This window comes from Homo sapiens, chromosome 7 (assembly GCF_000001405.40).
Source record: "Homo sapiens chromosome 7, GRCh38.p14 Primary Assembly".
NCBI lineage: Eukaryota > Metazoa > Chordata > Mammalia > Primates > Hominidae > Homo > Homo sapiens.
The window spans coordinates 116880892-116898536 of record NC_000007.14 but is presented as its reverse complement, the minus strand read 5'-3'; the positions used below and the strand labels follow the sequence as shown (position 1 = coordinate 116898536).

The 17645-nt window shown below is 36.1% G+C and overlaps 1 protein-coding gene across 1 annotated transcript in view; it reads right to left on the bottom strand.

Annotated features, from left to right (window-relative positions):
• Positions 1-17645, bottom strand: part of CAPZA2 (capping actin protein of muscle Z-line subunit alpha 2) — a 59463-nt gene that overhangs the window by 23513 nt on the left and 18305 nt on the right. Inside the window, exons 2-3 of the mRNA NM_006136.3 lie at positions 10347-10410; positions 5492-5543 (exon numbers count right to left, since the gene is read on the bottom strand). Coding sequence (NP_006127.1) covers positions 5492-5543; positions 10347-10410 — 116 coding nt within the window. The remainder of the gene's footprint in view (positions 1-5491; positions 5544-10346; positions 10411-17645) is intronic.

Below are 17645 nucleotides of genomic sequence, written 5' to 3'. Positions count from 1 at the left end.
TAAATATAACTGGCCTTTTCATTCAAGAACCTGAAAATAAAGGTTAGTTACTGATAAGAGATGCATCCAATTGTTCAAGTATATATTTAGTATACCAGGAAACAGACTAGGTGCTGTAAGAGATGCAAAGAATACTTAGATACATTCTCTGATCAAAGGCCTACAGGTGAATAAAAGAGAAAATGGATAAACATAACCATAACACAAAGTATGAAGCATAGTAAGAGAATTACCAATGAAGCACTGCAAAGAATGCTTAAAAAAAAAAAAAGATTACATTCTGTTGAGGCAACAGTGAGAAGAGAAGAGAATTGGGGTAATTTCTTAATAACTGTGATACTGAAAAACCGACTTGAAAAACTGGATAGGCTCTGGTTTATGGAAATTGGAGGGATGGGCAGAAAAGAGCAGAGTGACCGTATGAGCAAAATGCCTGAGAAAATAAGTTAGGTCCAACATCACAGAAAGCACCAAGCTCAATGCCTGGCTCATAGCGGGTGTTCAGTTATACTTACTGAAATGAACTGAAAGGCTCTGAATGATGGAATAATTATTTGGGAGACAGAGCAGAGTTACAGAAGCTTTTTGAGAAAGGAGAACACAGAAGTACTTCTAAAGAAGATTAATTTGGCAGCAGTGTAGATGATGAATTGGGCAGTGGAGCAACGAGAGCCAGAAAAAGCAGTTAGGCAGTTGCTAAGGTTAAAAACCGCAGAGTGTGAGGTAGGAAATGGTGACGAGATGGATCCAAGAATAAAGCTACTCTCTATCTACTCCATAAGAGTAAAGAATAATACATTACCATATATATGTATAGAAAAAATTCTCAAGAGTATAAAATATTATCTAAAAATTGTATTTTTAAATTAAATCTAAAATCTGGGAAATCACTGTCACTTAACAGAAAGGATACTGAGAATTTCCAAACTCAGAAATACATCTCTAATCTACTTGGAAACTTCCAGATTATTCGGGATGGCCAGGCGTCCACTGAATTTTCAGGTATTAGCTCCTGAGTCTCCTCTAGAAAGGAAAGCCTGGTTGAACAAAGCATTACTGATGAGTTAATAGGAGACTAGTAAATGTAAAAATAGCAAAGTAGAATTAAATTATTAGCTGTCAAATTCTTGATACTACATGCTCAAAAAAGATGACATTGAATACAGAAGTGTACAAGGGTGAGAAAGAAAAAAGAAGCTATTCACTTCTCATTTTCCTAATTCACGAAAACTGTAATTTTCCTAAGAATAAACTCAATACAGCCAGGGCATTATTAATCCTTAAATGATTTATCCCAAAAGTATGTTTAAAACCAAGTCAATTAGAATTTTGGATTCATTTTCCAGTAAGGTCATATTTAAATAAGTTTAAACAGTAAATTGGGCCCAGGCTGGACTGAAAGCCTTTTATTGCCCGTAATATAAAACGCCATCCACCTCTAACTTGGGAGGAGGGGATAAAGGAAAAATAGGAAATCTGAAAAGGAGACAAGTAATATGAAATAGGTTAAAATTTTATCTTAAAGGCTCAAAATAAGTTAAATGGTGACAATTACACAGTACAGTGGAAAAGGTACTCATCTAGGAGTGATAATATCCAAATTTTGCTTCAACCATATCATTAACCAGTACAGGCCACCTCACTTACTTTATAGATACAAAAACAGTAGTTTGGACCAGATAAATTCAAGTGTCTTCAGGTCATAAAACTCACTTCATGCACCCACTCATCATTCCTTCATCCACCCCTCCATCTATGCAAATACTTACTGAGCTCTTATTACTATAAGCTAAGCATTCTACTAGACACGGTAAAAACAATGTTCTCCCTGCTCTTGCAGAATTCTGTCGCCCAATCAATTTCTAAGTCACCTGTTACTGTATTTAGATTTTTATACCCTTTCCATCAAGTTGTATCTTATACTTTTCTCCATGCTCTTCCCTAAGTTTAGCCACATCATTTTTCTTACTATTAAAATCCTGTTCATTTAAAACAGCTCAAAAACCACCTCTAAATAGAAATTCAAAATTTCTTCCTTTGGGTTATAAAGCCCTTTCACATGCCTCTATTGTATTTCGTTTCACTTGGTCTAATATTAAACATGTCTGACTCTCCACTGGAAAATCCCTAAAAGGCTTATTTATCTCATCATCACAGCAAAGTCTAGCAATGTCTGTTGAATAAAAAGCTATTTCTGGATGTTTCAAAGTGTTCTTGACTTGACAATACCAACTCTTCAGTATGGCTAATTTTGCTCTGAAACATACTGAGTTGGTAGCTTTTTGTAAAGATGTCCCATTACAACCACTCTAAAGAATAATTGTCATGTTTTCCCCACTACAAAAACGGTAAAGGGCAAAGAAAAAAAAAGGAGATAAAGCAACAAGGCAAAGGTGGAGGAAAGGAGGAAACATACATATATGTGGGAAAGATGTATTTGTATAAAAGAAATTCAACATCAAAAAGTGCAAGTGAAAAAGAAACAGTCTATAGCTATACACTTACCCTAGTGAAACTGCCACTGGAACACATTCTAAATGTTTTTATAATGCCTTCTAAGCTTTTGTTACGTAGTTTTGGATGGCCTCAATGATAGGTAACAAATTATTATCTTTTGAGGACAAAAGTAATTCAGAACTAAGTGGGATGAAGAACAGGGTAACACTACTTTTGCTCAGAAATTATTTCACAGAGAGGACACTGTGAACCAGAGTAATAGCATTCTAAAGTCAAGTCAATCAGTGACTTACAGTATATATTCTGTACTTCACAGACACCCAGAGATGTCTACAACATGAACTCAAATGGAGAGTTTTGAGAAATTGCATACTACTGAAGTCAATCAAACTATTTTTTTTTTTTTACTAGTAAGCAAACATTCACTGAGATTATAACTACATGCAAAGAAAATCTGAAGTTTCTAGTAAAGGTTTTGATGAGTTTTTTCTGAGGGTCATACTATAAGCATCATATTTTATCACAATTACCGATGTCCTCAAATACTCGTTTACTTAAAAGATCAGAATATCATGTATTTCCTGTTACAATGCACATGAAGTGTGGATCACAGCTGTTCCAGAAATTTGGTTTATAATAAAAGAGAAATGAAGCTCATCTTCAAATTTCTCTTACAACAAATATAATTTATTTAAATTAAATCTAACAATCATTAACAGATCAATAATTCTTTGGACAAATAAAAGTCCCATACTTTCACGTATCTTGAGTCAAATGTATAACTATTTCATGCTATTTATATAAATATGAATAGTACTCTGACTTACCAAGTTTCTCATTTCTTGACTTAAAAAAAATCCACTCATTTTTGCACCACATGAAACCCACAACTTATTTAACATAGAGAACACAAAGGAAAAGCTTACTTTGAAAGTATTGTTCAAAAACGCTGTATGTTTCCTTTGCATCCATAAGACTTTTCTCAACATGTTTTATATTATTATAAAGAAAATTAATTTTACTTTAATATATAAAAAGTTTCAATAAGCTTTAAAATATTTAGGAGCAAGTGGTCATTTACTCATAAATTGTTAACTAAAACCAAAAGGATAAACTACACTGATTCCTATGAAGCACTTTAATATAATTAATGGGTGGGAGCAACTCAAGTGTCCATTGGAAGATAAACGGATAAACAAAATGTGCTATACAGATACAACAGAATATTATTAGCCCTAAAAAGGAAGGAAATTCTGACACATGCTACAATATGGATAAACTTTGAAGATATTAGGCTAAGTAAAATAGACCAGTCACAAAAGGCAAATACTATAAGATTCTACTTATAAGAGGTACCTAGGTTGTCAAATTCATAGGTAGTTGAATAATGGTTGCCTGGGGCTTTCAAGTATCAGCTTAAAAAGATGAAAAAAGTACTGAAAATGGATGGTGGCTATGATTACATAACAATATAAAGGTATTAAAGCCACTGATCTGTACACTTAATGGGTAAAATAGTATGTTTTATGTGTATTTTTCCACAATTAAAAAACTGCTATAAATAACAGAAATTTTAATCACAAGCAAAAGCAGATATGCCCACAAGTCTGTTGAACCTCTACCTTCATAAAGGCCATTTTTTATTTTTTAAAGGCTTCAAATGTTCTAACAATAAAATCAGAGAAATTTTCCCTGTCAGATTTTTTTTTTTTTTTTTTTGAGACGGAGTCTTGCTCTGTCACCAGGCTGGAGTGCAGTGGCGCCATCTCGGCTTGCTGCAACCTCTGCCTCCTGGGTTCAAGCGATTCTCCTGCCTCAGCCTCCCAAGTAGCTGGGACTACAGGAATGTGCCACCATGCTCAGCTAATTTTTCTATTTTTAGTAGAGACGGGATTTCACCATGTTGGTCAGGATGGTCTCAATCTCTTGACCTCGTAATCCGCCTGCCTCGGCCTCCCAAAGTGCTGGGATTACAGGCGTGAGCCACCGCACCCAGCCATCAGTCAGGATTTTACATATTGGGTATTATACTAGGATGAAAAGTAACTGACTGGATGGATACTAAACTTTCTTTGTAAGAAAGAATGCACTACTTCATCATTTTCAAATGAGTAGTAGAATCGGTAAGCCTAAAATAACAGTCTCTAGACCTTATTTTGGGAGAAGTAGGGAGAGAATCAATTATTTCTCTGAAATTGCAGGATAGCTGCGAAAAGTCATGGCTGGGGTCACTGGTGCAAAGACGATGTATTAAGATTTAGAATTGCCTACTTCTTTAAATCACTCAAAAATTCAGTGTACATGTATGTGTCAGGTACTACGTTAGGCATTTATGAGTAAATAAACTCACAACTTTAAAAGCTCTCAAAAGCTATTAGGGTCAAACATAAAAGAAAATGCAAAATCTACATAAAAATGGTAGCAACCACAATTTCTTCCAACTTTGCAAATGCCAAAATACAGTATTAACTGAATGTATAAGGCACCGCTAGACACACAGTGAATAATTTCATGTCATAGTTGTACCTCTAAGTCCTTCTGTGATAAAAAATATTTTTCTCCTACCCTGGCTAGGATATATAAAATCATACACATTTGAACTTGATGTGCAAATATCTATGTCAGAGATTAGTGCTTTAAAAACACTTTTAGGCCGGATGTGGTGGCTCACGCCTGTAATCCCAGAGCTCTGGGAGGCTGAGGCAGGTGGATCACGAGGTCAGGAATTCAAGACCAGCCTGGCCAATAAGGTAAAACCCCATCTCTACTAAAAATACAAAAATTAGCCAGGCGTGGTGGTGCGCGCCTGTAGTCCCAGCTACTCGGGAGGCTGAGGCAGAAGAATCGCTTGTACCCGGGAGGCAGAGGTTGCAGTGAGCCGAGATCGCACCACTGAACTCCAGCCTGGACGACAGAGTGAGACTCCATCTCAAAACAAAACAAAAAAACCCACAAAAAACCCCCACACACTTTTAAAGCATCTCTCGTTTTCCCATGTCATTTTAGTTAGGTTAGTATGATAAATAATACTTACTGGGCTGCTCCTTCCCTGAGAAGATTGTCATTATTAAGCAGTAACCGAACATCTGCAAAACAATTATGTTATCTACATTATTATTGTTATATGTTTCAAGAATGTAATGAACGCAGATTGTTTTGGTGATGTATTAACACCTCCCACCCCAAACACAAGCAAGATCAAAATATCACTCATGACCAAAATAACCAAACACACAACATAGTATTAAAAAAAAAAAAAAGGTTTTGGTTAGTAAATATGAAGGGGAATGAAATAGAAATACATACTTGTTTACACCCTTAACAGTCAATGCAGGCAGACTAAAATCCAAGCTTGTCCAACCCATGGCCTAGGATAGCTCTGAACGCAATCCAACACAAATTTGTAAACTCTAAAACATCGTGAGTTTTTTTTTTTTAAGCTCATCAGCTATTGTTAGTGTATTTTATGTGTGGCCCAAGACAATTCTTCTTCTTCCAATGTGTCCAAAAGATTGGACACCCCTGCTATATGTAATGTATCTCCAAGGAACTAAAGGGGAGATGAGCTCCACTGGAAATATGGTATGTTAAAGTCTGCAGAAAAGATTTAGGATTATTCTTATTTTTGAAGGTGACTTCAAAAATAGCATTTTTATTGAAAAAAATCCAAGCACTTTGTAAAACATAAAAGAAAAAAGTCACGTACGGCTCTCATCAAAAAACCAAATTCTTTTCTAGTCTTACTGTATTTTCTTTCATTATTTTTCCTAAGCACCTGGCTATTTTACTTAGTTGCAATTATAAAGTAAATAATACAATGTATTCTAATTTTTCATTAGATGAAAATAACACAAACAACCTAAATATCTTCCATTAAGAAACTGGTTAAATGTAAAAAGACTATAATTCTTACATAGAGTGTGAAACTAGGCAGCCATGAAAAATAATGTACACTTATATTTACCAACATGGAAATACATTTGTAATATAATAAACAGGAAGAGAAAAATTTAGTATGTATATTATCATATTTATGTATTGTTAAATATACTTGTTAGTTGAGAGATGTTTGAAGTAATTCATTTGAACAACAGGGAACTGGAAGGTAGAATTTTTTGTGAAGTTTAGATTCTTTTTTGTACTTTGGAAAGTTTACAATGACTATGAATCATTTTTACAATAAAGCCATTTCAAAAGAAAAAACCCACTGCCTATTCACATACCTCACCTCTTTTCAGCAACAGGTCCTTATTTAAAAAACAATATCCTGGCCGGGTGTGGTGGCTCATGCCTGTAATCCCAGCACTTTGGGAGGCCGAAGAGGGTGGATCACGAGGTCAGGAGATCAAGACCATCCTGGCTAACACGGTGAAACCCCGTCTCTACTAAAAATACAAAAAACTAGCCGGGCGTGGTGGCGGGCACCTAGGGTCCCAGCTGCTTGGGAGGCTGAGGCAGGAGAATGGCGTGAACCCGGGAGGCGGAGCTTGCAGTGAGCCGAGATCACGCCACTGCACTCCATCCTGGGCAACAGAGCGAGACTCCATCTCAAAACAAACAAACAAACAAAAAACAATATCCTTTGCTAACCACTGAAATAATACTATTTTAATTTTGAAATTAACTGATTTTAAACAATGGATGCTTCTGCCTAAAAAACTATTTTAAAAAATAGAGAAATTTATAATTACTGTTATTTTTATCCCACAAAGTGGGAAGTTCTATTTGATAAATTTATCATCAATAGTTTAAACATAATGAACAGCGATATTGCATGGACAGTATGCCTATTCCAGTTCCAAATGGGTAAATGATTGAAAAACAAGATCTATTTGTCAGCTCTACTCTGGAAAAAAATAATAAATCCATGCTTTTATCATAAGAAGAGTAGAAGAAATAAAAAGAGGATAATTTGAATAAAATATTTCTCTTAAAGAAGAAATCAGGCTGTGGCTCCAAGTCAGGCAACACATAAACCACAGGGTGGAGGACAGGAGATGTAAGGAATGTAGATTTCAGAGCCCTAGTCCAGATCTATGACTATATGTTTGAGATGTTTGAGAATGAAGACCAGAAATCCATGTTTCGATGATTCTAACACAGTCAGCCTAGGAAACAGCATTTGGGAACCATCTAACTGTTAAGGTTTTATTAACTTTGTAATTCTAAAATTTTGTGGCTCTTTTTGGAATCATTCTGACACTGTGGTTTTCAATAAAAATAGAAAATAATCACATTCATATCATATTTACCTTCAAATATTTAATTCTTTTCTAACTCTTTTTTTTTTTTTTTTTTTTTTGAGACAGAGTCTCACTCTGTCACCCAGGCTGGAGTGCAGTGGCGCGATCTTGACTCAATGTAACCTCCGCCTCCTGGGTTTGAGCAATTCTCCTGCCTCAGCCTCCTGAGTAGCTGGGATTCCCAGGCATGCACCACCCACACCCTGCTAATTTTTGTATATATGTGTGTGTGTGTGTGTATATATATATATATATATATATATATGTGTATATATATATATATATATATATATATATATATATATATATATTTTTTTTTTTTTTTTTAAGTAGAGACAGGGTTTCACCATGTTGGCCAGGCTGGTTTTGAACTCCTGATCTCAGGTGATCCACCGGGCTTGGCCTCCCAAAGCGCTGGCATTATAGGCATGAGCCACCATGCCCACCCTTTTATCTAACTCTTAAATATTCTTTCAGTTAAAATTTATTAGATAAATCCTATATCCCCACTTCTATTCCATAGCTTACCCTCTACCCAGGCCTATTTAATAGGCTCATCCTAAATGCCCAAATTTACTACAACTCAACAGAGAATATATTAACTCAATGTCAATTTTAAATGAGACTTAGGAAAGCAATTTCTAGGATGCATACATTCTTTTAGGACTTTCCTGATTAAATATGCAGGGCATTTAACTCAAGGTAAGAAAAGTATGTAGAAAATTTTTCTTAAAATTCTGTTTATTCTTGGCTCTGTGAATTGTAATTGGGAAGCTACTGACTTTAGTGCAGTCTCACCATTATCAATTTAAGTTACATGCCACTTTTTGACCCTAAGGAGGAAGAGACTATCTTCTTTAATCCCCCAACCATCAAATGTATTAATGTATATGTAGGTTACAGAACCTGAATATTAAAAAAGAAGTGAAATCTTACACGAAGTAAAAGTACTTCTGAATTCTCTCCAACTCCCTAGTTCACTACATGAGATTTTGTAGTTATATTAAACAGCAGATTTTAATTTCTGGATTTTTTTACAATGCCAATTCTCCATTCTGCCTTCTAAGTACAGCTCAGTAGTTAAATTTTAAAATGCATAAGAACTGCCATATGTAATTGTATGCACTAAATCATGTATTATTGTAGTTTGTGGATGACCTCAGGGATTTCTAGGGTAATTTTAACTTTATACAACTTTTGCCTCACTTTCTGACTTTCAAAACTAATCTTTTCTGAGGTGAGATTCCATTATATCTTTTTTTTTTTTTTTGGTAGAGATGGGGAGGGGGGCCTCACTATGTTGCCCAGGCTGGTCGCAAACACCCAGCCTCAAGCAATCCTCCTGCCTCAGCCTCCCAAAGTGTTGGGATTACAGGAGTGAGCCACAGTGCCCAGTCCTATATCTTATACTAAGAAAAAAAAATGATTAAACTTCTTAAAAAACATTTAACTAGTTTACTATGGAGTAGAATGTTTAAAAAACGGAAACTGAAGAGCTCTGTGTAAATTCACTTTTAAGACACGGTGAAGTTCAAATGTATATGAAGAAGAAACAACAACACATTTATAGATAGTACTTGAAAGTAATGTATTTTTCTAACTACTTAAGAAGTTTTATAAAGAGATCACTACAGGCCATTTTTCTTTCAGGCATGTTGTTCTTACTGCTGAGGAGCAGCTATTGCTACAGTCTATAGTAACCAGGAGACTTTACAGCAGTTTAAATTTCAGATCTATGGGTGAATAATTATAAAAACGTCTGCCAGTGAAGTTTAAAGGAACGCATACTGTGAAGTGATTTACAAGACATAATTTAAATAACAAATTGTTTTTACATGTGCTATCATGCTCTATGCAGGATGAAAATGTTTTTTCCCTTTTTCTTTTGGCTATTCATACCGATCTCATAGGATTTTCTTTAAAAGAAATACAAAAATTCCTTTCACAATTCCAAAAAATATATGGTCATGATGAAACTTTTTTTTGTTTGTTTGTTTTTGTTTTTTTGAGATAGGGTCTCACTCTGTTGCCCAGGCTAGAGTGCAATGGGTGTGATCTCGGCTCTCTGCAACCTCCTGAGCTCAAATGATTCCCCAACCTCAGCCTCTCAAAACAGGAGCATGCCACCACACCTGGCTTTTTTTTTTTTTTTTTTTTTGGTAGAGACAAGGTTTCACCATACTGCCCAGGCTGGTCTCGAACTCCTGGTCTCAAGTGACCTGCCTGCCTCATCTTCCCAAAGTGCTGGTATTACAGGAGTGAGCCACTGCACCTGGCCTGTTGTCTTTTTAAACTATTTAAGAGTTCTATTGAAGAAATATCTACTATATGCGTTTATAGTTTTACTTAAATAAAACCATTTACCAAAAAGACTCTCCTTTCCCAGAATGAGGATATATTCTAGTCAGTGATATGAATAAAATTTATTTCAGGCTTTAAAAGGGTTAATTTGCTAACAGAATCATCATATATAAATAAATACATTATATTCTAGCCATTACAAAATCCAGACTAACATATTGTCATTGTAATTCAGAAAACACAGATTTTTCTGCATACTGTCCTTAGCTTATTTTGATTATTTTGGTTTTCTTTTAAAAAGAGGGCTTGATATATCAAGCCTAGTGTTATAAATCAAACACTCACCATTGAAAACCTCATTAAATTCTCCAGGAGGGGCATGAATGATGAATTTTGCTGCTATACGCACCTGAAACAGAAAGAAAGATATAAATGTTCCATATCACAGGCTTCTGCTAAAATAAGCACAAAACATGCAAAATTATATTATTTCAAAGCTCTACTGAAAATGGCTTAAGATTTTAAATACAGTGATACTTTTTCACTCAATCACCTTAAGATCACTACTGTTTCAATAATTTAATATAATCACAACATACAGACTGAATGTAGATAAAATATACAATACTGAATGAATAAAGATTCAAAGCTGCTTACAGATAAACAATTTCTTATTTTATTTAACTTTAATTTTTTATTTTTTGAGATGGAGTCTCACTCTGTTACGCAGGCTAGAGTGCAGTGGCACAATCTCAGCTCACTGCAACTTCTGCCACCTGGGTTTACGTGATTCTCCTGCCTTGGCCTCCCAAGTAGCTGGGACTACAGGCGCGTGCCGCCATGCCCAGCTAATTTTTTGTATTTTTAGTAGAGATGAGGTTTCACTATGTTGGCCAAGCTGGTCTTCAACTCCTGACCTCAAATAATCTGCCTGCCTCAGTCTCCCAAAGTGCTGGGATTACAGGTGTGAGCCACCACATCTGGCCTATTTTATTTCATTTTTTTTTTGGAGGCAGGGTCTTGCTCTGTCACCAGGCTGGAGTGCAGTGGTGTGATCTTGGCTCACTGCAACCCCTGCCTCCTGGGCTCAAGCCATCCTCCTACCTCCGCCTCCTGAGCAGCTGGGACTACAGGCACGTGCCACCACACCTGGATAATTTTTTGTATTTTTGATAGAGAAGGGATCTCACTATGTTATCCAGGCTGGTCTTGAACTCCTGAGTTCAAAGGATCCTCCCATCTCAGCCTCCCAAAGTGCTGGGATTACAGGCGTGAGCCAGTACACCTGGCCAACAATTTCTTATAAGGAATTTTATTTCTTCTAAACTAAAGTGAAAAAAAAATCAATGACAAAATTTTCTATGTGTGAAGACAAGACGCATTTAGGCATAAATAAAATGAAGAACAATGACATACATATTTGATTAAAAACTCACAAATTAGTAAAACATGTAGAAAAAAAGGAGAAAGGAAAAGTTTAAGTTCAAAAGGTTTAACAGGAGACCTGACCAGATCTTAGGAAATCTTAGTTCAAAGACAAGTAGGAGATTGAACATCAACAGGTGTGCTAACAGGCATATTTTAAGAGAATAAAGCCTATTTTGATAAAGAGATTAATCACTAATGAAAATATATCTGAGAGGGTAGATGATGTGCCCAACATAATAGTTTAGTGAAAGCACCTTATGTATAGGAGCCATCCAATCACACTACATGGTACCTGTGAATAAGCTGAGGTAGTGTCCCTGAAAGTGTAGTCCTTAGGCAAGCAGCCTCAGCAGCACCTTGTCAAAAGTGCAAATTCATTGGCCCCAGACCAACTGACTGAATCAGAATCTCTGGAGACAGGTCCTGGGAAACACCATTTAAACAACATCTCCAGGTGATTTTTATGCACATTCAAGTACTCACTGTATGAAGGGACCATCCTTGGCAAAAACAAAGCCTTGATTTATTTTTATATCTACCACTTTGATAGCACTATCATTGCTTTGATGTAGAAACTAAAAATAATGGAAAGAAAAGGAAATGGCTGTGTGTGTTTGTGTATGTGTTATGTGTGCATGTACATGTATCTAAGCACAGATACCATTTTCAGAGGAGAGAAACATGGAAAAAAGGTATAGATGGCTAGAATGAAGATGTTCCTAGTTAGAGGTCACATGTATGACAAGGCCTTCAAAAGGTTAGAAAACATCTATTTAAGACAAAGGGAATGTTTGTAGTTTTGAACTTGAGAAGCAGCATTTTGTAATTAATAGAACTTTAGGTTCTGGAATCAGACTGACAGTTACCTAATCTCCTCTACTTTAGCTATCTCACCTAAAAAGTGCATATAAAATAGTAACTAGCTCATAGAATTTTTGGGAAGAGTAAATGATCTAAAGTACTTGGTAAGCACTAATTTAAATACCATTTTTGTTATCATCTTATCATCTTTTTGTTATCTATCTGGTATCTGACATCAATCATAGATTCTGCTTCAAACTTCTTAGTGTTCCAAACTAATGTTGACTGATAGCTTCAGGGTGGGGCTGGTCACTGAAAGAGGAGGCAAGATTAGAGGGCTGGGACTTCTGACCCACCTCCTAACCTCCACTCCAGGGAGGGGAGAAGGGCTGAAGGTTATGTTTATTACCAGTCGCCAATGGTTTAATCAATCATGCCTACATAATAATGCCTCCATAAAAACCCATAAAGAGGGTTTGGAGAGCTTCGGAAGAGCTGAACACATGGAGGCTCCTGAAGGGTAGTGTGCCTGGGGAGAGCATGGAGGCTCTGATCCCCTCCTCCATACCTCACCCTATGCATCTCTTCATCTGTATCCTTTACAATAAACTGGTAAATGTAAGTAAGCATTTCCCTGAGTTCTGTGGGCCACTCTAGCAAATTATTGAACCTGAAAAGGGGGTTCTGAGAATCTGGATCTATAGCTGGTCAGTCAGAAGTTCCTAATGCCCGGACTTGTGACTGGTGTCTGAAGTGGGGGAAGGAGCAATCTTGGGGACTCAGCCCTCCACCTGTGGGATGTGACTATCTCCAGGTAGATGGTATTGGAGTTAAATTACATGACACCCAGCTGGTGTCCGCTGTAGAACTGATTGCTTGATTTTTGGTGGGGGACTCCCACCTCTCCCCACCAAACACTGGGTCACAGAAGTGTTCTGTGTTGATTGTTGTGCTGAGTGGGAGAATACAAAAAAAAAAACATAGGTGTTTTGTCCACACACAGACATGATACCAAAACCATGATCCATTAAAAACAACAACAACAACAAAAAAAAAACTAGTGAGCTGGACTTATTCAAAATGTAAAACCTGCTCTGTGGAAGACTTCTGTTAAGAGAATGAAAAGACAAGTTTACAAACTGGAGAAAATATTATCAAATGGCATATTCAACAAAGGATTTTTATTCAGAATATATAAAGTACCCACAAGACTCCAAAAGTAAGAAAACAGTAAGCAGAGGACTTGAATAGACACTTCGCCGCCAAAGAGTATATATAAGACAGATAAATGCACAAAAAGATGCTTAATATCATTAGTCAGTAGAGAAATGAATATTGAAATCACGAAATACTACTACATACCTAATAGTATGGCTAAAATAAAAAGGACATAACACCCAGTGCTGGTGAGGATGCAGAACAGGAACTCTCATACATTTCTGTGGAAATGCAAAATCATTCAACCAGTATGGAAAACAGTTTGGCCATTTCTTATAAAATTAAGCAAGCACACACCACAGGACACAGCAATCCCACTCCTAGGTATCTACCCTTCAGAAATGCAAACTTATTTTCATATAAAAACTTATACATAATTGCTCAAAACTGGAAATAATCTACCACCCAAATGTCCATAAATGGGTGAACAGACAAATAAACCATGGTATATCTACACAATGAAATATCACTCAGCAATAAAAACGAACAAACCATTAATATATGTGACAACTGAAATGAACCTCAAAAGCATTATGCTGAATGAAATAAGTCAATCTCAAAAGGTTACATAGTAACTCTACAGTATTCCCTATATATGACATTCTCAAATAAACAATATTAGAGCAATGACGAAAAGATGAATGGTTGCTAGAAGCTGAGGGGTGGGGAAGGGGAAGAGTTTGACTACAAACAGAGAAATGAGACGAGGAAAAAGAAACAGAGTTCTGGGGTGGATGGAACTGTACTAGTATGTATCTAGATTTTGGTAGTGATTACATTGATCTATACATGTGCTAAAAGTCATCAAAAAAGAGTACTCACTATATGCTAATTGAAAAAATAAATTTTTTTATGTGTTTTCAAAACATATTGCTTCTAAAACGTTTAAGAGTACTATTAAAATGTAAAGTATAAATAGCAATTTTAAAAAGGCAAGGAGAGAGTAGGGTATAGGCCATTGTGCATGCCAAACATACACTGGAGTCTATTATGATTACGTAAGTATCTTCATTTCCTTATCCCCTTTCTGCCCCATCCCCTTCCTATTGAGAGAAGGAGTTGTTAGGAAGTATTTATACTGAAGTCTTGATCACTATCACAGGCAAAAATTAAAAATGTGATAACAGAACACTTTTAGAATTTTGAGGTAATTATTTTTAATACTCCTAATGACTTATACAAACACTACCTATAAAACTGGCTAAATTAAATTCCTGATAGCAAGCAGCACACATATAGCATATTTAGTAATGCATTTAACTAGTTGAGCTTTAAAAATTTTAGTTGTTTCCAAAAAAGGCAATATACCATTTAGAATTTTCGTCAGCTCTATTTTGGGTTTTCACCAAGAAAGCAAAAATGATCTGTACTGCATTTTTATCCTATGAACTTATTTGCCCTTGCTGTTGCACTAAATGTACACAGTAATCAAAAGGTATTACTGGACTTCCACAACATCCAAAGTGAATGGTGGGTCAAAAGTACCACTAAGGGTTGGGAGGTCAAGGGAGCAGACTGGCTGAGAACCCCAAACACAATGTGGATTAAACCAGCCGTGCCTGAAATACTTTAATCTGGTTCTTTCTGATTTTCAAAAGGTAAGAATCTGACCTTTGGATTTCTCAGGCCCTAGACAAAAGAAAGGATGTCTCTCACAGTAAAAGTTTTGACTGTTTTCCTAAGAAGATATTGTTCAACCATCCAGGTATTTTTTATCCACTGCTACAGACTCAACATTCCTCCTCGCTGACTTTAATTTTAAAAATTATTTATTCTAGCTCATTTCTAAATGCAAAAAAGAAAAAAAAAATACCAGTTAACAATAGGTAGGTCCCAAGAGTAGAATTTCTGAAAATAATTACAAATGTATTTCCTTAAAGTTTATCTAACAAACATGGAGGGTAAGTGAATACATTCTATTTACCGTTGGGAATTATAGCTTTTTAAAAAGAATCTAGTGAGTTATTAGATACATTTCTAGGCCCACTGCTAAATGTTTTTTTTCCTTATCCACCATCTTCCTCCACATGTTATTCTTCAAAGTCAATTCTGGACAAACTGGAGTCAAAATCACGAAAGAGTTATTAGTTTTATTTTATTTCTAATCTAATTCTGGATTTTCGGGGCATGGTTTTGTTGGGGACCAGTGGCTACAGGTGGGAGATTAACTCTATCCCTCCATGATAAAGTCCCTGGCAGCTGACAAGCATACCTCACAACAATCACATCAAGAAGTATAGAGTGGTTTTGAAAAGTTAACCTATAGAGATTCAAGTATAACCTGAGTTAAATCTTGAAATTACATTTTTTCTCTTGATTCCAAATATTATGTGGTATGAAATATACACATAAGTAACAAATATAACATAAAAAATATGCTCCATTCTATTGCGCTTCTTGTAGAAGAGCACACATCACTAGTCACTATAAAGTGACCTATACAGAAGATAAAATTGGGGTGTTCAAAAAATATCCAAAATACATGTGAGCCCTGAGAAAAAAAATAATTTCTGCCCATCAACTGTCTGAGACAATACAAACGTATTACTGTCAAACAATATTTTTTCGTATCTTGTTTTTCTTATGGGCTTACTTTTTTGTAAAAAAAAATAATAATAATAATTCTTCAAGCAACCCATTCCATAATGGTAGTAATGAATGGTAACCCACAGAATAAAACAAGAATCTATGAGTCCATACTGGCATAAAGAAATAAACTAACAAATGGAGGAAAATGAAAAGCCCTTCATCATAGAATTCCAATTAATAAATGTAAAAGGAGGGACTGAATTAGAAAACCACCTTGGGTGACCACCACAGTAATTCTAGCAAGCAAAAAATCATCAAGGGAGGCTAAAGTTGGTGGGCAGAATAATAAAACAACAGGATATTTACATTGTTTGTAAGTATCTTCCCAGGTGACACTTAATTACTAAAGAATAGTAATTTTACATTGAGGAAACTCGCCATACACCACCTTTACCAAATAAATGATCAAAGTTATCAACAGTAATAAGAAAAACTGAAAAACTGACATCAAGTGCCCCCTGAGAGTATATACTGAGAACATATCACTTCTGTGACACTCCTGCCAAAAATTCATAGGCTGAATCTAATTATCAGGAAACAAACTAAACTTGAGGGACAGCCTACAAAATAATCAGTCTGTACTCTTCAAAAGAGTTAGGGTCATGAAAAATAAACAATGCTGAGAAACTGTTCCAAATTAAGCAAGACCAGAGACATTACAACAAAATTCAATGTGATTCTGGTTTAGATCCTGGACCAGGGCGGGGGTGGAGGGGAAGGTGCATTAGTGATGTAATTTTTTTTTTTTTTTTTTTTTTTTTGAGACAGAGTCTCACTCTGCTGCCCAGGCTGGAGTGCAGTGGTGCGATCTTGGCTCACTGCAAGCTCTGCCTCCCGGGTTCATGCCATTCTCCTGCCTCAGCCTCCCAAGTAGCTGGGACTACAGGCACCCACCACCACGCCCGGCTAATTTTTTGTATTTTTAGTAGAGACGGGGTTTCACCGTGTTAGCCAGGATGGTCTTGATCTCCTGACCTCGTGATCCGCCCACCTTGGCCTCCCGAAGTGCTGGGATTACAGGTGTGAGCCACTGTGCCCAGCCTGATAATTGTACTGTAGTTTTGTAAAAGAATGCCCTGAATACAGTCAAGTATTTAAAGACTGGGGAAAAAAATTCCTTCTCTACTCTGAGGTTGCATGGTTTCTCCTGTATTTTTTCTAACTTTAAAGTTTTGCTCTTTGTACTTAGTTCTTCAATCTGTCCAGGATTGATTTTTGTGTCTGATGTGCGATAGGGCTCTATTTCTTTTTTATTATACTGTTATATGGATAAAAAGAAGTTAGCAGTCATCATTCAAGTAGTAATTGTTAAGAATGTGACTTCCTCAAGAAAGCCCTAAATATTCAATAATATTAGCAGGCAGCAAGAAGTGATGTTATTCTAGAATTTAATAGAGGCTTTGGTTAACACTACAAAAATATCCATGTAAGTAATGTGAAAGCAAATTAATATTCTAATCCTCCTCACCAACTGACTTTAAAGACTTTCCATGGTCACTGTGGTGGATCACGCCTGTAATCCCAGCACTTTGGGAGGCCAAGGTGGGCAGATTGCCTGAACTCAGGGGTTGGAGATCAGCCTGGCCAACAGGGAGAAACCCTGTCTCT